Consider the following 25,354-nt stretch of genomic DNA (forward strand, 5'->3'; position numbering starts at 1 on the left):
GGACACAGATCCAAACCATATCACTGAGTTTAGTGGCATTCCTAATGCATTCCCCTCCTTTCTTTATAAGAGTTTATTCAGGTATACACTCTTCATGGGCTTCAGGTGAGGCAGGCCCCAGTCCCAGTTCCTGCCCCAAGACTGATCAAGGAGGAACCATGATCAGTTTCAGCTAGAAGTTCTCCAATTTCCTATGTTTATGGGGCCCTTAGTCTCAGCAATTTTTCTCACTGTGCCCCTAAGCTAAAAGAAATATCTAACCCTTCTGCTGGGTTAGGCCCAGACAGCTTAGTAAGTATTTAGGCCCTAACAACTTAGCCAATCGCAACTAGCTAATTGTAAAGACACTATACGTGAACTGAAAGAAAAAAGGTATACTTTTAATTAATATATTCTTTTTTTAATTTTAGAAACTTGTTAAAAAACTTTTTTGTAGGCAAGTGGAACTTAATTTGGTAAAAAAATATATGTTTTTATGGTATATAACATGATATTTTGATATATGTGTACATTGTGGAGTTGCTGAGTCAAGTTAAATAACACATTCATTATTCATATACTTATTTTCTTGTGGTGAGAACACTTAAATATACTCTTAGAAACTTTCGAGTATATAATACGTTGTTATGAACTACGTCACCATGTTGTACAACAGATCTAGTTTATTCTACTATAATCACTTACTAGTGGAATGGATGCACCTGTTGGGCACTGCACAACTTCTCACACTGTGTGTTTGGATTGGACACCAGCACCCCCATTTCACATTCCACACTGATTTTCATTCCATACTTGTTTTATTTCAGCAATCACTAAAACTTCTCAAAGATACGATATCATCAAATGTCTGTAGCATGATTAATGTTGAAACCATGAATAAACTGAGCTAAAAAGTAGTTCAAGTGGGCTGGGTGCAGTGGCTCATGCCTGTAATCCCAGCACTTTGGAAGGCCAAGGTGAGCAGATCACGAGGTCAGGAGGTTGAGACCATCCTGGCCAATATGGTGAAACCCCCGTCTCTACTAAAATACAAAAAAATAAGCTGGGCATGGTGGTACGTACCTGTAGTCCCAGCTACTTGGGAGGCTGAGGGAAGGGAATTGCTTGAATCCGGGAGGTGGAGATTGCAGTGAGCCGAGATCATACCACTGCACTCCAGCCTGGCGACAGAGCGAGACTGTCTCAAAAAACATACATATATAAAAAGAAAGTAGTTCAAGTGGTGTCCAACAGATGTCCAGCATTACTGAGTTTTCCTTGAAAGCTTAAAATATCCCCTGGCACCCCTGAATTTGGTGTGGCAATCTGGGGTGCCTCATCCCTTAGTTTGGGATAGAGTGGACTTGAAGCCGTAAATCATCTGTTTAGGTAAGAGACTGTGATGCAATTCCGGCTGATGAAATGTGGAGAGAAGTCTTTTGAGAGATTCCTAGAAAAGGGTCTCCTCACCCTATCAAAGCTGTCTGGGAGGATGCCTTCTGCTGGGGGCTGTTGCAGAGTCTGCGTAGGAACCTGGACCCGCAGCTGCCCTCTTGGACCCAGAGGACCACTGTCCCCAGGAGAAGACACTGGATGGTGAAGGGGATGGAGGGGCTGTGGCTTTGGTGGCATTGTTTGGCTGCTGAAGCCTGGAAATACCCATCTCTGGACTTGCTATTTTGTAAGCTAATGCTGTCCTGGAAAATGTAGCCTATTTAGAGCTGGATTTCCTGCTCACTAGCAGCAAAAAGGACCCTTCCTGATACACTGCAAAGAATGTTTGGGAACACCACACTTTCTATTCTCCATTAGGGTCACCTATTAAAGTCTCTGAGAAATCCCACAATCCTCTGTTTACTTTGGTTCAGTACAGTTTGCCAAATTTACTTAACTGAGAAAACCTTTTTTTTCTGTAGAACCTAATTATACCTCACAGAACATTTGTGTGCCAAAAACCACATTTTTTTTTTTTTTTTTTTGAGATAGAGTCTCACTCTGTCACCCAGGCTGGAGTACACTGGTGCGATCTCAGCTCACTGCAACCTCCACTTCCTGGGTTCAAGTGATTCTCTTGCCTCAGCCTCCTGAGTAGCTGGGACTACAGGCACGTGCCACCACACCCAGCTAAGTTTTGAGTTTTTAGTAGAGACTGGGTTTCACCATCTTGGCCAGGCTGGTCTTGAACTCCTGACCTCGTGATCTGCCCTCCTCGGCCTCCCCAAAGTGCTGGGATTACAAGTGTGAGCAACTGCACCTGGCCGAAAAACACAGTTTTGAAAGGACGCCTTAGATCCCTCCTCACGGCCCCTCATCCCCTACCCACCCCAGAAGCCCGTACACACAGACGCCCACCTCAGCAGAGTGCCAGGGCCCACATATGTTTCTATTCAATGGGGAAGACTAACCAAAGCCAGATGTACCTGGGCAGCCCACAGGCAGAGGAAGCAATGATGTCATGTTCCAGCCACGCAGGGATTAGCTGCCAGAAAGCCCCCATGGAGGAGTGGGGCCTGGCTGCTAATGGATTCAGCAGGAGCCCCCCTGTAGGCTTTACACGACCAAAGTGCATGACTGCTGTGTGTGCATGATGGCCGTGCCTGTGACCACTGTGTCCCTGACTGCTGTGTGTGTGATCACTGTGTCTATGACCACCGTGTCCCTGACCACTATGTCCCTGACTGCTGTGTTGGTGACTGCTGTGCCCATGACCACTGTGTCCATGACTGCTATGTCTGTGACTACTGTGTCCATGACCACTGTGTGTCTGATTGCTGTGTCCATGACCACTCTGTGACCACTATGCCCGTGACTGCTGTGTCCTTGACCACTGTGTCTGTGACCGCCGTGTCTGTGACCGCTGTGCCCATGACTGCTGTGTCTGTGGCCTCTGTGTTTGTGGTCTCTGTGTCCCTGACCACTGCGTCTATGACACTGTGCCTGTGACTGTGTGTCCAGTGCCACCGTGTGTGTGGGATTGCTGTGTTCAAGAGCACTGTGTACTTTTGGGCTCAGTCCCTCTGTAGCTCCTAGGACGGGGCCCTACTGTTGCTGTTGTCAGTCCTGCCACCCAACAAGGCAGTACTCTGTGTATCTTTCCTTGGCTCCTGGTCATGCCTCCTCTCATCCCCCATTCTTGGCCTCCCTGACCCAGGAGGAGGACAGAGCTCTGTTGACCACTTTCTGCATGATTTAGGCCATCCTTCTCTACTTTGGAGCCCAGAGAGTATCCGCCCTGTGATTTTCCAAAAGTGTCCCCTGGCGACCATTGGTTTCTGAAGAGGAACTGTAGGTTATGTGTCGGGGTGAGGAGGGTCCTAGCTGCTGCCCTTGATTCAACCAGGACAGCTTTCTGCTCATCCTTTTTATCCACTGGGTTCCCACAGAGTATTTCATTGGAAGAACAGTTTTTGTGGCAGGAAAAAATATTTCCAAAGTAATGATATTGACCAGTATTGCGTTTTTGCAGGAAGGACTGGGGCCTCCTCTCTATGCTGTGGAATCCCTGGAGATTTGTGGGAGAGCCAGATGGGGTCAGGGCAGAGGAACGGAGGAGACCGCCTGCGAAGGCAGGAGTTTGTTCTCCCTGTTGACTTTGCCTGCCATGACCCAGGAGAAAAAGCCCTTTGAAACCATCAGAGAGCAGTCAGGCAGACCCACAAGGCATGCTTCTCAAACTCTGGGTCACTGGTGAGGAAGCAGGAGGCAGGCAGAGAAGTACAGCCTTGGAGGCGGAATGCATTTTATTTTCTCAGCCAAGATTTAGAGGCTGATGCTGACACCCCGACCAGGCCAGGCACCTTTGCACGAGAGCTCAGCTCAGCTCTGGACCCTCAGAACTGCCGGGCTCAGTGGTGTGCATTTGGCAATGGGAGCCCGGCAAGGCATGTGCAGGGATAACTGCACCATCAGGCACAGTGGGCACGGTGCCCACTGCCCAGAATACTTGCAGGTACTCTAAAAAATGTTTTTATTTCTTTTAAAATCAGAAGAAAAAAAAGCTTTCAGGTTGAAGAAAATCTTTCAATATATCATATTTATGTATTCGTCTTTACAACAATGCAGTTTTAAAATAAGAATTACATATTTATGGGGGAAGGGGTCCATTAAGGGAAAAATGCCCGCCGAAGTGCTGATGGAGTTATAATGTGTCCCTAAGTAAATGACAGTGAATTTCAGACCTTGTGTTAGCTTGGGCTGCTGTAATAATACCACAGACTGGGTGGCTTAAATGACAGAAATTTATTTTCTTGCAGTTCTGGAGGCTGGAAGTCCAAGATCAAGGAGTTGGCAGGGCTGACTTTTTCCAAGGCCTCTCTCCTTGGCTCCCAGGTGGCTGTGTTCCCCCTGCATCTTTCCATCATCTTCTCTCTTTTTAGATGGAGTTTCACTCTTTTTGCCCAGGCTGGAGTGCGATGGTGCGATCTTGGCTCACTGCATCCTCAATCTCCTGGGTTCAAGTGATTCTCCTGCCTCATTCTCCTGAGTAGCTGGGATTATAGACGTGCACCACCACACCCAGCTAATTTTATATTTTTGTAGAGATGGGGTTTCACCATGTTGGCCAGGCTGGTCTCAAACTCTTGACCTCAGGTGATCCACCTGCCTCGGCCTCCCAAAGTGGTGGGATTACAGGTGTGAGACACCATGCGCAGCCCCTGGTCTCCACTTTTTATACTGATGCCAATCATACTGAATTAGGGCTCACCCTAATGGCATCATCTTGACTTCATGAATTCTTTAAAGTCTCTATGTCCAAATATAGTACTGAGCATTAGGGCTTTAACATATGAATTTACGGGGACACAGTTCAGCCCATAACAAATCTTCTTGCATAAATTCATGCTCTTTCTTTGCAACTGCCTTTCCCTTCTCATCTCTTTTTTTCCCAGAGAAAGAGAAAGACCCTATCTAAAATGCTTTCTGCTTCAGAGAGCATCAGAAGGGAAGCTTGCCCAGGCTCCCTGGTTCTTTCTTTTGGGCTGTGGGTCAAATGCTGTCCAGTGCTGACCTGGACAAGTTGAGGATACCAGAAGGAATCCAAGGCGCCACTAGTGCTGTGGGTGGACCCTGGTCATCCCCCTGCCTCTGGATATTAGAACTCAGTTTAGCTACATTCGAGATGTAATTCAAGGGGTCACTGGGGAATGGTTATATGTGATGCCCAAGTGTGTGGCTTCATGGTCCCCCAAAGACCAGGTGCCAGGGCAACCCTTCCCCACCTGCTCCAGCACTATCCACCCCATCCCAGTACTGTCAATTATATGGGGTCAATGGTGTGGCAGGAGGATGGTTCTTGGTATTAAAACGGATCCATTTCCTTAGGGTTGAAAACGTAGAGGATCCAAGCAGATCCTAGCCTCCTGAATGCCAGGAATTCTTGATGTTTTATTAGGATTTTGTCAAGAAAGGGGGAGTGAGAGCTCCTCACTGTTCCTGATTCAATGAAACTGGAGAGCCTGTTCTGCTGCCCTTGAAAATTCAATGTTACTTTCAAGTGTGGAATGTCCTGTAATTTTTGTGAAATTGGCTTTTATTTTAAATGAGTCCTACTGAGGGTAATCCAAACATGAAGACGAGAAGGAGGAGAAGGAGAAGGGAGGAGGAGGAGGGTGAAGAGGAAGAGTTCCAGTGGCATGAGAAAGCAGGGCTGAGTCTGGGAGTTGGATTCCCTCTTGTCCTGCCCTGTGATGTGGTGGCATTACCTTCTCTGGAGTCTCCAATCCTAAGACACTAGCCTGAACATGTCTCAGCAATTTTTCCCCCATGGATTTGCCCATATACCTTGATGGATCTTACGATATTTGCCATAAAATTCAGGGTCAATGGTCATCACCATTCTAGAGCGAGTACCCATCCAACCTGGAGCAGGATGGGCAGAGCCAGGGCATGGGGCTGAGGCCTGGTACTCAACCTGGGGAGCAGAGGATGCAGAAGGAAAGGAGCCGATGGGCTCCAGGCAATCTCCTCTCTCCACCTGGTCTCCCACCAGAGGGACAGAGTGTGGCCTGGGAGGCTGGAGGTCTGGGTTTGGCCCCTCCGAAGAGACCCATTTCATATGTGGCTTTGGGCTAGCCTCTCTGTTCTTAGGCTCCCCATCTCCTAAATGAGGGAGTTGGACCAGATGAGTTCATCAAAGCCACTGGGTACCAGCCACCAGGTGCCAGCCTCAGGTGCTGAAGATGCACAAAGACACAAAGACAAGCCCATAGCCCTCCCGGAGCCAGGTAGCCTGCTACAAGCCAGGCTTGTTCACTTGCTCATTTTTCCTGCCTGAAATACATTTATTTTTTTCTCATGATGAAAGCTACTCATGCTTATTATTTAAAATATATATACAGAAAACATGGCCAAGGAAAACAAAGACAGAAAAATGATCCCCATAAATCTCACCCACTCAGAGACAACCATGTTTAGTGCTTGGATTTTCTTCCAGACCATTTCCTATGACTAGGGACACTCATACTTAAATATAGGAACAAAACAGGATCATAGTGCTTATTTTTTCTGAGTCCTCACGATCATTCTATGAGTCAGTTAGTAGTAGTATTTTTACTTTATATATGCAGAAACAGAGACTCAAAGAGGCTGAGTAACTTTCTCAAGGTGACAGGACTGTGACTCAATGCCAAATTCAGCTGACGTCAAGTCGAAAGCTCTTTCTCAACACCCTTGTCCATGAGGGAGCCAGGTAGGTAAATGACGGATTGTTCCAGCATTAACCAAACCTCACAGAAGCTGGAGACCCATGCACTTGTTTTAGGATAGCTGAGTAAAGGTCACAAGCAAGTCAGCCTTTGAACGGTGTTCTTGGAAACAAGGGGGGCTTTGTCAGGTGGAGAAGCAGCAAGGAAGGTGCTTCAGGCAGATGGAAGAAACAAACAAGTCAAAAGAGTGAAGGTCAATCAAGTTCATGGCTCCCTCAGTACAAGAAAGCAGCCAGGGAAATTGGATATGCATAGACAGGAGTGTGTGTGTGTGTGTGTGTGTGTGTGTGTGTGTGTCAGGGGAGGCAAGGGGATGTGGCAGGAGGTGAGCTTGCTGGAGTTAGGCTGAGGAAGGCCATAAAATATGCTGAGCAGTTCAAGCTCTCTTCTTAAGGTGATGAGAGCTATTAAGGGTTCTTGATGGGATATGAATGGATCTTTTAGGGGGACACTCTGGAGGCCCTGTGGAGGGCGGATTGGGGTAAGGGGAGTCAATCATCTGATTCTTTGATCCTCTTTCCAACCTCAATTAGCATCCCCAGGAAAGGGAGGCAGAAAGAGTGGGGAGTGAGGTCCCATGAGTCTTGGGAAGATGGCTGGATGCCCAAATACTCCATCTTATAAAAGGCTCACCTCATGGGCTGATGAGGAGGGAAATGAAGCCAGAGGTGTGTGGTGGAACTGTGAATGAGCCCACCCCTTAGAGGGAGGAAGAGGGGAATGAGGGACTGATTTAATGGTATTGATTCCTGCTGTGTCTTATTTCTGAAACTCTGCTCGGCTGTCTGTGCCAACATCTGTTTGTTCCATCTCCAGCATGAGGCAGGGCCCCTTTCTTTCCAGGACTGGGTTGGCATTGCTTAAGTTTGCACTTGGGTGGTTTTTTTCTGGGAGGATTGATGTCCTGCACTCCAATCAGCTGGGTCAGGCATGCACTCCACCTTCTACATAGTCCCATAGACATCAGAAAAGGTTCGGGGTGGAGCAGACATAGGGGCTCACATGGGTCAGGAACCTGGGCTGCCAAGGGAGCCTCTGCACAAAGGGCCAGAGCTGTGCAGGTGACGGGTGTGTGCAGGTGCGGGACTGGAGTCATGAATAGGTGACAGGTGGGGACAAACAGCTGCTGGTGAGTATAGGTTGAGTAGCTGGATGAAAAAATGAATGGGGGAGTGAGGCTAGGTTATACTGTGGCAAAACCAAATGGCAAAGGGTTAGTTTGTTCTTGTGCTGACTGTCCTTTGGGACTTGGGTGCCAGGTTAGGTCGTCTGAGAAACAGGCTCCCACATGGGAGTAGCTATGGCTTTATTAGGGGAGATGCCTGTGAAGGATAAAGGGTGGGGGAGCAGGAGAGGCAGGGGGAAGCTTTAGCCACAGTGCAGGTCTGACACCTGGGAAAGGAGAGAGAAGGAAAGACGGGGAAGGAAGAGCCTGGGATTGCAGCATGGTTCTGCGGAGTCCTGGGCCAGGCTGATGGCAAGTCCCTAAACCAAAGTTGCTCATTAGCAGAATCCCACATCAAGCAGGACTGAGAGTTCTAATATTCAAGTCATGGATACCAGCCATTTGCATGGAACAGCCAAGGGAAGCCAGTGTGGCCTGGGAGGAGGACAGAGGGAGATCCACAGGGAATAGCTGGTGGCCGTGGGTCAGCTCTGCCTAGAGGGAGGCTCTTTGGAAGGAGCCTCTGAGAGGGACGCCTCTATGGCTGCTGTGGTTGGCTGGGAACTCGGCCGCAGGCACTCCTCATTCGGGAATCCAGGCTTTTTTTAGAGAACCCACTGTCTAGAATTTTGCTGGTCACTATGACAGAGGAAAAAGATAACCTGGAGGATCTCACACTGTTAATTAAAGGCTCTAGTCCAGAAGAGATGTGTGTCAACTTTACTGGTGACCATTGGCCAGATCTGATCATGTGACCCCAGGATCCAGGAAGTGAGAGTCCAGGAAGGGGTCCAGGAAGTAAAATCAGCCACCGCATAGTAGGAGGAGAGCTGAAAATACTTGAACAGTGCTAATGCCTACCACAGTATATGAAAAGGAAAATGAATGAATGACGGGAAAAAGAGATGGATCAATGGAATGACTGAAAGAATGGAGAAGATAATGAAGGAAGAGAGAATCAAGGGGTGAAGGAGTAAATTAAGGGGTAAGTAAGCAAGTGAATAAATGAATGAATAAAGAAGTAATGAAGGATGAGTGTGGCCTGATGGATGAAGCAGAATGCATAGGATGTGGATGGATGAATAGTGAGAGATGAGAAAGGATGAGCTAAGGAGAGAGGCCATTGAGCCTCCTTTGCTTTGGAAGGGTAACAAGCAAAGCACTCCCCTTCTCCCCACTGCCACCTCCAGCCAGATGCAGCTACAATCCAATAATTGCACCAACCAGCAGTCCCTGAATGGTTACTGCAAAGGTGTCTCTCTAGAGGCCACTGGGGCTGCAACACAGGGCCAAGAAGGGACAGCCTTTCCTTCCCTCTGACAGCACGGCCCTGTATTGAACAGCTTTGTGAACATATTCTGGGACTACTAACGTCTGTGCCTGCCTCTTGCAGAGAGGGCTTGAGGGCTGCCAGCACATTGTGATCCTCTTGGAAGCAGCAGAGAACCTCCCCCCAACTTAAAGCCCACCTCGCTTTTCCAGTGTGCCCAAATCCACCTGATGAGAACCCTCTTTCGCTTTAAGCTTTGGCTGTTAAGAAGTCTTCTTTTAAAAGAAGGAATCCTCTAAATAAACCCACTCGCAATTATTGAAGAGCTATTGTACTGGTCACAGTGGAGGCCGCTGGGATGACAGTTACAAAAGGACCATGGGCAAGCTCCTTCCCTCTTTAGCCTCAGTTTCCTCATTTATTAAAGTGGAAGGGGTTCTGATAGATCCTGTTTTATACAAGACTGAGCACAAGATACTGGGTGATGAATGCAGTTCCTTGGTTTGACGGTTACAGAGGAGCTGAGTTGCACTCCCTTTGTCCTCATAGATGGGAAGTGGTCCTGCCCTTGAGGTCTCAAGGCTGACCTGTTGGTGAGTGGAACCAGATGATCAGGTCTAGTCTAGATTAAAGGACTAGTGACAATAACTTGGTTTGTGGTTGCTCCCAATTCAATTTGCTATTGAACAGCAAACAAGCAGGGCTGCAAGCCAGTGAATATGGGTCTCTGTACATCTTGACTTTCAAAGTGTATCTGAAGTTCAGGACTCAACCACTCCTGCACAAAGTGGGAGATCCGCCAGGCCAGAAAGAGCTGGGTGCTGCAGACTCAACGCTGTTTTCTGTAAACTTTCAGTTGAAGTGTAATATACATACAGAAGAGGTCATGAATAGTAAGTGTACAGTTTGATGGAATTTCCCAAAGGGAATACAGTTGTGTGACCAGTACTGTAATCAAGAAACAGAACATGTCCAGCATTCCACAGACCTCGGGATGCCTTTGCATCTGGCTTCTCTCAGTATTAAGTTGTGAGACGTCGCCACACTGTTGAGTGTAGCTGTGCTCTTTCTCCTCATTGTTGTGTAGTATTCCATTGCGCATCACTGCCTCTTATGCCTTAGACTGCATCAGCATTCAAGGTTCTACCTATCACCTGTGCAGCAATTTCTTGCTGCCCTGTAGTGACGAGCTTCTGCATTCAAATTTCTGTTGCATTATCAAGCTCACAGTTGGCCTGAGCAGGATCTGTCACTGTCGCAAAAACTATCAGCGGAAGGAGGCAGCAGCCAGATCCCCGGCCTTGATCTGAAACCAAGTCAGCAACACCCAGTGGAGATAGGGAGTGAAGCAGAGGGTTAGGGGGAGGATGTGCTGCCCTCACGCCTGGAACAAGCCCATGTGGGCTCTACCACCACCACAAAGGCGGGTGATTAGGGCTCATTAGAGTAACTGTGATGATGCAGGAGAGATATCACCTGGGTGTCAGATTTCTGGCCACCTGGCAAAGAAAGGTGTGTGCAGGAGAGAATAAGCAGGGCCAGGGGCAGACAGGCTCTTACCTGCAGGCAATAGATACTATGGCCTTGAGTGTGCAGATGGCAGCAAGGACACTGAGGCAGTCAGATGGTTAGGACTTGTGCATGGATAGGATGGGAAGGTGAAGAGAAGGAGCAGGAAGGGGAATGGCTGAGGTGCAGCCATCCACAAAACCAGGGGCTCCTGGATGGGGGTCAGAGCAGACTGTGGGCTTCTGAGGACAGGGCCCTCTCTCCTTCTTCCCTGTAGCCCCCTGTGCCTGGCACAGGGCAAGCCCACAAGTGGCACTAATTAAAGTGTGAGCCATCCCTCTTGGTCAGGATATCCCATGTCGGGATCTGCAGGTGAGACAGGGACCATATCCCTCCTGCCTCCCCACCTGATCAGGCTTCATCAGGTCTCCAGGGCTCTACCAGCTGTCAGGCAGCTGCAGGGATTTGGCTGCTGCTCTGCAGGGCCCAGGGAAGGAGGCAGAGTTGAGTCCATTAGCTCGGTGCTGTTCTCCAGGGAGCACGCAGAGGGATTATCTGGCTGCTTTGCCGCCTCCTGACTTCCCAGGACCACCCCTTTGGGACTCGATCCAAGGAAGTGAGCGATCCCCTCATTAGGCATAAGGAGTCAGTAATCCTGCCACTCCTCCTCCGTGAGCCTCCTGTGCACCGAGTCCAGCCTCAGGAGGAAGCAATGGGCTAGGCGGGCCAGGCCTGGCTTCTAGCCTGGGCTCTGCTTTTCACTCAGAGTGAGGCCTGGGGCACTCCCCATCCCTTCTGGGCTGTCTTTCCCCATCCGCAAAACGAGTACCCTTTTGTCTGAAAGCCCTTCTAGCTCTGGTGTCCTCCAATGTGTGACCAGAGGCAGACCCAGCTCCATCTCTGAGTGGGCCTGGGGGACTCACTCCCCCCATCTGTTTACTGTTTCCTCTTCTTCCCTGATGCCCAGCATGGTGGATGGGGAGTATAATGACCCTGACTTGTTCTCAGTGGAAAATGATGGCCAGGAGAAATGTGAAGTGTTAGTTACCACCTGCCAAGGACAAACTGAAATGACTAGTGGTGGCCCGTTTTGGGAGGGTAGGGGGAAGGGTAGGAGCCAGAGGCATTCCAAGGAGAAGGGAGAGACAGAAAGGGGTATAATAAAAACAAGAGCCCCACATATTGAGGGCTTGCTTAATCTATACCAGCACGTTACTAAGAGCTTTATGTTATATGGCATCTCACTTAATTCTTAATATCAAGGACAAAGCCCCAAAGCCCCAAGCCTCAGGGACTCAGAGGGTGAAGTTAGTTTCCAGTGCAAAATGAGGTAGAAGATGATGGAGAGAATACTCCATGGTCCCAGAGGGTCTCCAGCAGATTTGTTCTGGATGAGAGTATTTTAGACAGTCATGTTAACATGTCCTGAAACTGCACTAGGTTCAGTGGCTGAGAATGTTGATCGAAAGCTCAGGTGTGCAAGAAAAATGGAATTTTCTCACTTTTCCTATACAATTCAATTTCTGTTTCTGGTCCCCATTCCACCAAGGTGCTAGACCCAGGACCCTGTACATGAATGACCTCTCCTTGCTCAGATATGTGAGTTCTGGGAGCTATACAAGTGTAGGGGTGGGTGGGGTGCTGGGTCCTTGTGTGTCCTGGTTTCCACAGGCATGTCCTTCAGGCACCTGGCCCTCAGGTGTGATCCTGTAGGTGATGCAGGGCACTCCTCACACTTCTGTAAGTCCCCTGATACCTAGGAGCATTCTCTGCCCCTCCACACCAGGCTTGGCCACCCACACAGTCCTTCTGCTGCCTTAGCTACCCACTGGGGCATGAAATGCTGCGAAGCCGCCTGAGCTGCCCCTTCTGCCTAGAAATATCCTGCATCTCCTTTTCCAGAACTTTGTCTCCTCTCTAGCTCTTTCCGGGCTGTAGGGGTATGGGCCTTTCCCTTATTGATTTCACCAATCTATTTGGGAGTCATGGGGCCTTCCTGGAGAGGGTGTGCAGGGCTCGTCTCTCGGGGACACACTGACAACTCCATTTATATCCCTTCTTCCAATTCCCTTGCACTGATCATCCTCAGGGAAACCCAGACATGGGAGCTGGGACACTTGCTGTTACTCACTGTGTATCCTCCACATCCTTTATCAGAGACCAGCAGTCCCAGTAGGGATGGCTTTCTGGAAAGACATGTCTAGTTTCTCTGCTTCCTGCAGCTCCATCCCTTCCCCCAGGTAGTTAGACAGACCTCCGGGCTCTTTAGGAATATGGGCCTTGGTGAGAAAGGGAGGACCTACCTATAGGAATATGGGCCTTGGTGAGAAAGGGAGGACCTAGCTAAAATTCTGTGTGTACAAAGACAGAGGCAGAGGCTTCAGGGGAAGAGCCATGCCAGGCCCAGAGATCAAGGAACAGAGCCAAGGTGTCCTCCAGGTCTCCATCCCAGGGTTGTGGGACACCCCCAGCAGGGCAGCCTGCCAGGCCAGCCCTCCTAGTGAAGGCTCAGACATCCTCCCACCACAGCTCTGATCTATCCATTCCAGCAGGCTCCACAAACAGAAGGAGCTCCCTAGAAAGCCACCAAGACCCCTGCCATGGAGCCCTCCAATCAGCCTTGCTCCTGCCAAATCTGTTACTAATTTAAGCAAGACTCTAGGGGGAATATGGAAGACCCAAATGTATGCGCTGTGGGTCACCAAAAGGAATTCTGCCATGAGACAGGATTCGGAACCACAGTGTTTTGGCTTCCTCTTGTGCCAGGCTTAGGGGAGAAGTAGTTTGTCCATATCACCCACTGAAATAAGAAAGTAGGACCTCCTCTGTCTGCCCCCAAAGCCCACAAGATTCCCAATATACCTCATTGTCTGGGAGGCTTTGTGTGGCTACTAAAGTCTGTCTTCCCCCTGGAGAAGTTCACTGCATCCCTCCCATTTTGGAGAAGGGAAGAGACACGCAGTGGGTTAATGGGGAGTGTGTTTAAATCACAGAGGGTGAGCTCGTGTCTTCTTTGTATGTCAGCACACAATCTGCCATCTCCCCAAGTCTGTTCTGCATGAGTGAGTGAGAGTGACCCCAGTCACTGCTGTCATCAGCAACATACAGGTCATGGTGCCAAGGAAAAGGCCAATCAGACCAGATGTAAGACCTGGATCCACCCCTACCTGCACCCCAAGGACCGGCCAGGGGAGGGTGGATGTGCTGCACACCAGAGCCTCATGGAGCTTTTCAAAAGTGGGTCCCTGAGACACCACCCACCACGCCTGGGGACGATTAATAGATGTTATGGGAACAAAGGATTCTGTGGTCAGAGAGCCTGGGAAATGCTGAGTCAAAGGAGGTCGAGCATGTTTCATTATTGTAGGAATCTTTAGCTGTAAATATGCTGTATCTTGTTTACTCTCCCAGAAGGCTGTAGAATCCAGGATCCTCTAACTTAATTTGGTCGTAACTGGCCCTTTCTCTGAAGTATGGCGAGCATCACTTGGCTTCCTCAACACCCTTCTGGGAAGCAAGGCTCTGATGCTCATTAGAAAATAATCCCTGGGAAGGATGAACAGACAAATAATGCTGGGTCTGTGGGGGTCCAGGGAGGCAGCTTATGGCAAGGGCGTGTGTGTCCTGGGCTTTAAGAAAGGATGAGGCTTTGGAGGTAGGGACCTGGGGGGAGAAGGATCTTGCAGAAAAGCCAGTGCCGGCATTGGAGGCATTTGAGGGTAGTGGGTGTGAACAGCACATGGTGTGCAATTTGGCTGTGTACTTAAGAGGGAGAACAGGTGCATCAGGTTGGAAAACGAGGCTAGATTTGTTCTTATAGGTTAGGGTGTTATCACAGCAGAATGCATGGTCTCTGCAAAGGGTCCCCTATTTACAGACACCTCATCACTGACTTCCCGTGGCCCACTGACTTCAGAAATGAGGATGGAAGCCTGGCAGAGAAAGAACCTCTTTGCAAAACATCAGGCTCTGGGCCTCTTCTTTGTAGTGGGCAGTTTCCTTCTGACCTCTCCTTTCTGACAGGAGAGTGGCACCTTTCTATTCTCTTCACCATCGTAAGAGCCCAGAGAGCCTCTGCTTTGTTCAAAAGCCAGAAGAGAAGAAAAGGAATGGTATATCTTCCAGATCCTGGAAAACCTAGATGCGTGTAGCCAGGAAAGCAAAACTGTTCATTAAAACCAACCTGGGATCTTGCCAAGTGGGAGAAAGAGACTTGGGGCCAGGAGCCTCGGCAATGGGAAGGAGCGGAGTGGTAGTGGGTTATTTATACTCCACTTCTGGCACTGTCTGCCTGTGTTCTTTCAGCTAGAGGAAATGCTCCCATCCCTCAGACAGACATCTGATCATTATAATTTCGTGTTTGAAGACAGTTTTAGCCTCCTGCAGACACACATAAAATCTGCATCCGCCGCCCAGGATGGGGGACATAAAAGTTCTTTAAGAGGGTGGTAGACCTTCGCGGGATAGAATCCAGGCTGTCTCCAGCTGGGCACTGGGGCAGGCTTCTGCAGCTCTGCTCACACACCACCTGTCCACTCTCACCTTCTCCCTCTGCCCACTCGGCAGAATCTACCCATCCTTGGAGGCCCACCCAGACGCCTCTCTTGCAGGGGCCCTCGCTGAGTCTTCTCTCCCTGACTGTCTTGGTACTTTCTCTCCCCCCAGAGTTGATTTAGTTCACTTGATGTTATGCTACGCTGCCTCAGTCCCTAGCTGCCTCTTGTATACATAACCATATATTGAATGGGCTGAACTCGACGGGGCACGAACAGGAAATGGCTTTATTTCTCTCCCTTGGATGCTTTCAAACATGCCTGGCTAGATCTTCCCCACCCTCCTGATGGCATTGCAGGCATGTACCAGAGCCTCCCTGTCACATGCAGGGATAGAAAGTATTTTCCTCTCAGATATTAAACAGGTCCTATCCGGCCCACGCACAGCCTCCACGGACATCCAGTTCAAAGTTTCTCTCTCCCGGCAGCTTGGTGGGCAGAGGCCTGCGGTGGCCCAGGGATGGGTTGTGGTCAGTTCTTTCTTACTCTTCCTTTATGTCCTCCCCAAAAACAGATGCTAAAGTCCTAACCCCCAGGGACTCAGAGTATGACCTTATTTGGAAATAGTCTTTACAGAAGTGATCCAATTAAAATGAGGCTCTAATCCAATATGATGTTTCCTTATAAAAAGGGAAAATTTGGGCAGGGCGAGGTGGCTCACACCTATAATCCCAGCACTTTGGGAGGCTGAGACAGGTGGATCACGAGGTCAGGAGTTCAAGACCAGCCTGGCCAACATGGTGAAACCCCATCTCTACTAACAGTACAAAAATTAGCCAGGTGTGGTGGAACGTGCCTATAACCCCAGCTACTCAGGAGGCTGAGGCAGGAGAATCGCTTGAACCTGGGAGGAGCAGGTTGCAGTGAGTGAAGATCATGCCACTGCACTCCAGCCTGGGCTACAGAGTGAGACTTCATCTCAAAAACAAAAAACAAAAAAACAACAAAAAAATGGGGGGGTGGATGGTGGGGAATTTGGACAGGGAGACCGACAAGCAGAGAGGGAGACAACTTGGAGATGAGTGGGGAGCAGCCAGCTGTGGGACTGGAGCACGCATCTCTGAGCCGGGAGATTGAATGGGCCAGAAAGATCATCCCCTGGGCCCGTTAGGGGAAGCGCGGCCCTGCCCACACCCTGACTTAGGACTTCTGGTCTCTAGAACTGTGAGCCAACAAATTCAATTGTCTTAAGCCTCTGAGTCTGTAGGGTTTGTTCGGCAGCTCTAGGAAATGAATGCATCCACCTTCGTCCTGCTTTCCCCGGGGCCAGGCAAAGTGAGGAGCTGGAGAAAAGCAGACCCTCTCTTTTTGGATGGCCACTGCTGCCACCTCAGTTCAAGGAGAGGCTTTCAAAGTCTCTGTCAAGGCAGGTACCCCAGTGCTGGGTGTTCTGTGGACCCTCCTCTGTGACCCCCGGGGTGGGTCCCCATCACAGTGCCAGAAACTGCTCGCCTTCTATGGCCTCTTTTCAGCCCTGGAGAAGCTCACATTCTCTTTCCAGGGCAAAGGCGGGCCTGCAGGCTGCTGCAGCTGCCCTTGGCCTCACCCCACTCCGGCCAGCCTCCTGTCCTGAGTTCTAAGGTGGGACAGGTTCAGTTCCTACTCTAAGTCCCCACCCCCTTCCCCCACAACCCAGGGGACATGTGATAAACTCTTCTGGAAATTTCTGTGCCTCATGGTGGGCTTGGAGTTTCTGCAGTGCAATGGGCCTCCAACTGGGGAAGGAAGCATGAGTCTTCTCTCTGTACAGGCACCCCAATCTCTGCAAGAGGTTCTCTGGAGCCCCTGCTAGTAGCTTACAGGAGTGCACGGAGCAGCCGAGTCACAGTATTTTACGTAAAGTTTCCTCCACATTCACATCAATTCTCTTTCTTCTGCTTAAGCAGGGTGGATGTGGACTGAGGAGGTGAGGAGCAGGCAGTGTAGAAGCCTCTTAACAAATCCAGGAGGAAGGAACCTGGTAGCTATACCCCTTGGATGGTAGGGGCATTTGACACCCATTGTCCTGGGCTTTGGGGTTTCAGTGGAAGGAGTCCCACTCCTATCCAGTCCCTTAGGAGAACAAGTCCTAGATGTAAGAGATTGGAAACTCCCTGAGCACAAGGGGCATGGGCTCTGTTTTCCTCTCCCTTCACGTACAGCTACTAGGCCAGAGAGAGCCCAGGCTCTGGAGTCCTGTGGACCCAAGTTCAAGTTCCTGCTCAGTTACTTACCCAGCTGTGCATCTCAGGGAAGTGACCCAGCCTTTTCCAGTCTCTTTCCTCTGCCGGCTTTTACGTGGGAGTGGAAGGCAAGGAAAAAAGTGCCTGCTGCAGAGTCAGGTCCAGGGACACACCAGCCCTTGCCCCCACAGCATTTTGGGGCTGGCCCCATCCTCTGAGGATGCTGGAAGCATGCGGGTGACACTCTGGTGAAGGCTGTGGGTTTCTCCTCCAGCGAAGTTTGTTATAGGATTCAGGTTAAGAATCTCTGTCTGAACTCTCAGTGGCTTATCACCGAATTACACGAAATTGTTTGGTAAAGGAACAGCAGAAAGAGAGCCAAAAGATATTGGTAGCTGATTGGGGTCCCTGAGTCATCTGAGATGGTGACTAAGTAACCCAGCACTTTGAAAAGCCTGGACCTAAATTCCCAGGGGAATTTTTTCCCCACATGCCCTTCCCACAACATACTGGGCTGGATCCAATCCCACCTAGTACTGTTCAAATGCAATCCCTCTTGTGCATTGAGCAGTGTGCTGTGGCGCAGTCTCAGTGATTCCTAAAGTTGACTAAAACATGCCTTCTAAAGGGAAAGCTATCATTGCAGACCCCCAGTGTTGATAAGAATTATTTTGATCATATTGTTACTTAAATATATACAAACATAAAAGTAAGTATAAATCTCTTATGCTTTTAGCTCTTACACAGCTGTAAAACCAAAACACAATTACAAATTAAATGCAAATAAAGCTACAAAACCATTAAAATTCAAATTAATGGCATTAATTTAATGTGACAGATGATGTTTTGCTGAAAGTAAAACAACCAACGTTGGGTTTAATAATAGAAGGATACATTCCCATTTAAGTTCCGCTTGTTATCAACTAGATCATTTTGATGTTTGGACATGCTAGACCATCATTAGAGTTATTATCAATATTATTATATTTTTCATGTATTACAATGAACACACTTCTAAACACAGACCTAGAATTTTGATGAAGCGATCAACTTAATAGAGCACTTCAAAATATAATAATTTAAAATATATAGAAATATGTACCATTTAGTAAGACTATATACCATTTACCATTTCCAGCTGCTAGTGTTGTCTTGCAAGTTGTTGCAAACCAAGGTGGCATTCACTCAGGCACCTGCTTGCAAAACAGTGACTACAATTCTACCAGCTTCAATGCAGAGCAGCTTATTTGTGGCATGTCTGTGTCCCCTGTTCTGTTTGATGACTCAATCCTCCCTCCACTTATCTCTGTTTGAACAATTGCTAAACCTTTGTTTGTACAGCAGTCCATGAAGTCATTTGGCCTTCATTTTGCAAAAACATGATAGTAAACCCAAATGCAAATGTGAACTCTGCATTCCTGAAGCATTAGTTGGTGATAATATGATCATCCACACACAACCCCAATAGGGTCTCACTGATATTTTTCAATTTTTAAAATGAAAATATCAGAATAAAAAAAGACTCTCATATCACTCAAGGGCCCCTGACAGTACATCTGTGGATCCCACTTTGAAATCCCTGGTGCAGTGAAAGGAGGTCTGGCCTGGGAACCCAAGACTCGAGTTTTCGTTCTAAGTCCCTCATTGACCCACTGTGTTCTGTGGACCAATTTCCCCCTTTCTAGACTTCATCTGCTCATGATCAGTAATTGTCTTGCATTTTGGTCATCATCACATTTATCTCACCTGATCCCTCCCTGAGGTCGGTATGACTGTCCTCAATGACAGATGGGGGAAATTGAGACCCAGGTACACATCTGGTGAGTGAGGGGATGGGGTTAGGAGGCAGAGCTGGCTGACTCCAAAGGCACCACATGGCGGTGATTCACAAAACTGAGGCGCCCCCAGAGCCCTGCCAGATCTCTCAGGCTGCCCTGGAGAGCTTCAGTCTCTGATGACCCATGTCTTGGGACCCATGCCTCCTCTCAGCCACACATACACATATGGTCCCAGGCACAGCCCTGGAGAAAGTGGGAGAACAGCCTTGATTCATCCTCATCATCCTCCGATGACCCCACCAGCCCAGTGTTCAGCTCTGAGACAACATCCACCACCCCAGTGACAGGGGAAATTTCCCCAGCTAAATATCAGACACAGGTCCTGACAACTGAAGTTTTCTGATGGGTAAATTCATGTTTGTTTATTTATTTTGATGAAAAGACAGGTCTAAGTCTATAATTCAAATCCCATTTTATACACATGCATATGTATGTATGTATGCATGCACACATATATAAACATATATACATACATGTGTGTATATACATGTGTATGTGTATAGACTTTCCTTGGTGAAAGAGAATGAAATTTGCTTGAATTGGAGCTGTGCTGGACACAAGATTTGTGGTTGCCTTTTTGAGCTGAGGTATAGCTCCACTAGGGAAGAGTCTTCAGAGAGCAGCTGCCTCCCTGGGTCCTCAATCACTAACCTCTCTAATCTTTGGTGCCAGTGAGACTGTAGCTTGGGTTCCTCCCCTTGGAAACCAGAAAGACTCCTCATCTTATCTCAGAAGGCCCTGCAGGCACCATCACTCTTGGAATCCTCCCTCTTTCAGAATTGATGTGTGTGTGTCTGCAGCCTTGACATGTAGAGTGATGTCCAGGGCTTTCTGGAATTCTGGTTCCAGTGGGAAATTCAACTTGGTTCTAGGAAATGATGCCATTGGATTCATTCTATTCACAGGCAAGGAAGCAATCTTTAGGGAGGACCTGCTTTAACAACCCATCTTTCCTCCTTATGGATCTTAAGTTTTTAAAAGATTATTTCTTCTAGAGGGAGTTAAGTGATAATGAACTCATTCTTTCATTTTTATGAAACAAAGACATTTATACTTGACCATCAGAGATTCTAATTGGCATGTGGCTCATGCTTATGAGACCTGCAGAGTTGATAGAATCGCAGCTAAAACAAAGACATTTGACATTTTAGTTATTCATGCAGCCTTGCTCAGGGCACATGTACAATGATCATTAAGCTGTTTGAAATAGTGATATTCCAGCACTTGTGAAAAGAATATACTAGTGCCCACCAATCCAACATTGTGTCCCAGGAGAACTCAGGAACAGGTGGGTGAATGCAATTCCAGCTACACTTGTTCGACTGCAGGAAAACCCTACAGGTTGCTGGGCTGCAGTGGGGGAGGTAGGTCTTTGCTCTTGAGGGGTTCCTGATCTGTGAGCCAAGCCATTTTTTAAACTGACTGCTCTTTGTAGCGGGTGGATAAGAGGCAAGGACTAAACAGGGCTACCTTAAGATAACACTCTAAGGATGTCATCATGATTCTTAGGGACTGTGCATCGCACCTTATTCAGTACTCAAAGCCCAGGTATTTGCCCTGCCCAGGACTGCTCATGGATCATACCAGTTGTTCCTGGGGCAGAGTGATGAGGATCTTATATCACTGGGCATAGGGTCTTCTGGGCTGGGCCTTGAAGGACAGAAGCCTGCTTTACTCTCCGCTTTTTGACCTAGCCTCCACTTCCTCACTCTTTGTCTGTTCTGCAAGTTTGTACTCACTTCTCATCTGGAGCTTGCCATGGCTCCTGGGATCCCAGCTTCCTGCTCTGCTGAGGACCATGGTCGGTGTTCCCCCAGCAGCTTCCTTTTAAGCAGTCCCTGGCCCAAGCTACATGCTCAGTGAATATCCCTGCATTGACTCACTGAGGCCACTCCGGCCCAGCTGCCTATTGCTCCTACGCTATGGCCCTTTAGTCTCAATGGAAATTGAAATCTGGAGTGTTGGGCTGGCCAGTTATCCTCTGTCCAGTGAGGGCCCTGTCTAACTTTCTTGTCTTTATTTCTTTTCTCAGCACAGGTTTGGGCTATCACCTGAGAACATTCAGGAGACAGTACAGGTTCCCAGATGCAACGACTCACTCAGATTTGTCTTAACAGACCCTTCTACTGGCAATCTCAGGTGGAGCAAAAAGGAGCGATCATTAGAAACAAATTCATTGTGGTCTCTTGATTCTGGCCAGCTACTCTGCAAAGTCTGGCCTCCTGCACCTCTTGGGATGAGGTGGGGCCTCTTGTCAAGACAAAAGGGAGCAAGGGCCCCTGTAGGGGGAAGAAGGGCTGCCCAGGCCTGGTGTCAGTTGTTCCTGGGGCAGAGTGACAGGGACCTCTTATCACTGGCCACCCAGTGTCTATGGACCTTGGATACCATGGCCCCCAAGGTTTAAAAAATAATGGAAAAAGCCAAGATGGCAGGATTTAAGCATCTCAACATGGTCATTGCCACTGGAGCCTCTGGGCTGCATGGGCCTCTGGCAGGAGGAGGGGGTCAGGGCCAGGAATCAATTATAGGCAAAGGCTGGCTCCCTTGGGGCTGGTGCCAGGGAGAAAGCCAGCTGCCTCATCGCAGTGTCCAGGAGAATTTATGAGTTGGATCTTGGGGGTGAGTGGTGAAGGTTGAGCTCTCCAGGAAGCAGACTCTCAGAAGGAGTTTATGAAGCAGGACGCTTAAGAGGAATGCCTTGAGACAAACACCTGTGGGAAACGGGGAGGGAGGCAGGATGGGGCAGGGGAGAGGTGGAGCTGTGATGTGGCTTGGCTGACACCACAGAGTTGTTGGAACTCAGCTAGCTCCTCAGCGTCATCTCATGTGGGGCTCTGGCAGCCAGGCCTCTGCATCTTACCTCCTCAGTCAGAGGCTACTGGAACCTGACCATCCTTTAAGGACTCTAGAATCACCCTGACTCCTCTGGTTCTCTCAAAGCCCACACCCAATTCTTCACCAATCCCTGTGGCCTGCATCTTACAAACAGATCCAGCCTCCAAGCGTAGGTGTCTTCCTTCCTCCACGGCATTGTCCACGCTTCCACCACCTCTCCCAGAGCCACTGCAACAGCCTCCTGCCTCACCTCCCTGCTTCCACTCTTGGCCCTCTGGTTGTTTCTTTACCCTGAACCACAGCATCATTTTAGAATAGACATCAGAACTTGCCATTCCTCCACCCTTACTCCCATGACTTCCCTGACTCACACAGGCCAAGAGTCAACGCCTCGCCACTCTCTCCCAGCTCAGCCCCCTCCCTCCTGTTCTTGGGACATGCCAGGCTTGCTCCCGGCTCAAGATGGGTGTACTTGCCCTTTTACCTGCCCACTGGGCTTTCCCCAAGACAGCTACAGAGCGCATTTCCTCCCTGCCTTCAGATCCCTGTTCAAATACCATTTCCTCCCAGGGTCCTTCCCTGGTCATGCTATATGAAGTTGCAAACCCGGCCCACCCCATGATATTCCCTTTGAAGTTTGATGTGTCTTTGGGGCACCAAATGTATACAAGAATCTGGAGTTCAAAAGAGAGCTCCAGACTGGTGAAAAAGATTTCTGTGTCCTGGTAATACAGATGACATTCACACAGTGAGGATGGAGAGGATCCCCTAGGGCTGTCTTGTCCAATCTAGAAGCCACCAGCCACACTTGGCTACTGAGCACTGGAAATATGGCTGGTCTGCAGGGGTCATGTTGCATGAAAGGGTAACATGCACAGCAGATTTTGAAGATTTAGAAAAAAAAAGTAAAATATCCCATTGATAATTTTTATATTGCTTACATGTTGCAATGATAATATTTTGATTATATTGGGTTAGATTAAATCTATTATTAAAATTAATTTTACCTGTTCATTGGTACTTTTTAAATGTAGCTATTGGACAATTCAAAGTTACATCAGTGGCTCGTGTTGTATCTCCACTGAATAGCACTGGCCCAGGGAGTGGAGAGTTCATAGCATTGAGCCCTTGTGGCATCCAACATGTAGAGGTCGGGAAGTCAGGGATATCTAGTAGAAGAGACTGAGAATGAGAAGCCAGGGAGAAGGAGGAGAAAGAGAAGGTGAAGGAGAAGCATCATGAGGGAGCAGTGTCATCGACCAAGTGAAGACCATGTATGAAGAGGAGACTGATTCTCTGTGTCAAGTACCTGCTACGGGTTTGGTACAGAATGGACTCAAAACTGAGTATGGCACTGTGCACCATGAAGGCCACTGTGATCTTGATGAGAAGTACTTTGGAGCAGTGTTGAGGGTGAGAAAGCCTGATGGGAGGGGGCTCAAGGGAGAAGCAGGGGAGAACAATTGTAAACAGGGCATGTAGACATCCCTTTGTAGGAAGTTTGCTACAAATGGGCAGCAGGAAAATCGGGATGATAGCTGGAGAGGGAGGTGGGGTAAAGAGTTTTATTTTCAGCATAATATTGATAGGAAGCATTTTGTACACTTTCTATGGATAGACATTGTTCTAAGTACCTTGTATATATTAACTCGTTTAATCCACCAAGCACTCTATGAGTTAGTTACTATTTTGCTTACCAATTTACAGATGAAGAAATTAAGGCACAGAGAGGTTAAGTAACTTGCCTAAGGTCACACTGCAGTTAAGGAGCAGAGCTAGGATTTGAACCCCAGTCACATGGCTCTGAGGTTCTGCTTTAGCCACCATGCTATCTGCATCTTTATACCTGACAAAAATTCCAGGAGAGAAGAAAATTGATGATGCAGGCTAACTGCAAGAGGATTCCTGGAGATTTTTGTCTTTGGGGAAGTCAAGATAAGATGGGGTGGAGTGGGCAAGCAGAGGACTTGTCCCCAGCCAGAAGGAGGGGCAGTGTATGGTGCACAGTGCTACGGGCTGATATGCAAGTTCTCAAGATCAGCAAGGTCCTCCACTAAATGAAGTGCGGCAAGGAGGTGCTGGTGGTCTGCAAGGGAGATGATCTGTGAGCCAAGAAGGCACTGGGGCATTGCCAGGAGCATAGGACCCCTTGAAGCTCAAGGGCATGAGACAGGGCATAGACCACTTTACTCCAGCCTCTCCTTAATGTTTAAAATGGGAGGTCTCCAGGCCTATCCTGTGCCCCAGGGCTAGTCCCAGACTCCCCCATGGGCCAGCCCTGGGAGACACTCCGGGGTCACCTGGGCTCAGAGGATGCCAGACAGGCGGGATGGTGCAGAGGCAGGGCTGTGCAGGGCGATGGGAGTTCATCAGGTAGGGACCAGCCTGCAACCAGCTAAGGATGGACGGAAGAGCCTGGCAGCTCAGTCTCCTGACAGATTGAGGGCTGAGGGGGCTGGGCCTGCTGAAGAGGGAGAGGGCGGGAGTGGACATCAAGAAGAAGGGCCTCCAGGGCTTTGAAGGGGCCCATGGTGGGCCTTTGAATCCCTCCATCCGGGGTCAGTGCACCCGAGCGACTGGGCCCCCGTGCTCGCCAATAAAGTGTGTGGGACGGCCTTCAATTATGGAAGCGTAGCCAACCAAATCAGCTTTCAGATAAATTATTTATGCTGAGGCCTGCAAGGGAGGGAGTCCGGCTGCATGAACAACGTGTTCATTTTCATAAAACCCTGCAAAGTTGCAGTGGGCTGGGGAGAGGGTGGGGGGAAGAAGAAAGATGATTAGATTAGAAGAGGCCTGCTGTAAATAACACACAAGCAGGGCGTTTTGTTTCTTTTTGGGCTGTCTTTTGTATCATGTTTTATACAACAGAAAAGAGCAGAATACAACATCTAGGAAATGTTAATGAGGGTTATTTGCTATTTACCTAGGCTGGGGGTTTGAAGAAAGGGCTGGGCTGGAGGTGAGGGGGTTGTGTAGAAGATTGGATTCCATGCAAATGCAGACATCAGGGAGTCTGGAAGGCTTTGGAACAGAGCTGGACTGGAGGCTTGTCAGGTCCCTGTGGAGAGGGAAAGAAAGCAACAAATCCCATGGGCTGGAGGGTGTTTTCCCTCCTGCTCGGGGGGCCAGCCAATGGGCCTGGATGGGAGGGAGGGGTCCCAGTGGGAAGGCAGGTCAGCCCCAGAGAGCAGGCAGGTTGGGTGACTGCGAGAGTCCCTCCACCCTGAAATCTGGGGGATGATGACAAGCCAGGGGTGTCATTTCTGCCTTCCACAGTTTATCCACACCCCCTACCCATGGGAAAAACAGGTAGGGATGAGAAGAATGGAGCCTGCT

At 48.9% G+C, this 25,354-nt stretch overlaps 1 long non-coding RNA gene across 1 annotated transcript in view; it reads right to left on the reverse strand.

Moving 5' to 3' along the window:
- LOC107984245 (uncharacterized) overlaps window positions 1-21,251 on the reverse strand; it is a 29,949-nt gene extending 8,698 nt beyond the window's left edge. Inside the window, exon 1 of the long non-coding RNA XR_001747513.2 lies at window positions 17,394-21,251. This is a non-coding gene — a long non-coding RNA (uncharacterized LOC107984245). The remainder of the gene's footprint in view (window positions 1-17,393) is intronic.
- Window positions 21,252-25,354: the final 4,103 nt, after the last annotated feature.

The sequence above is a fragment of the Homo sapiens genome, chromosome 10, assembly GCF_000001405.40.
Source record: "Homo sapiens chromosome 10, GRCh38.p14 Primary Assembly".
Lineage (NCBI taxonomy): Eukaryota > Metazoa > Chordata > Mammalia > Primates > Hominidae > Homo > Homo sapiens.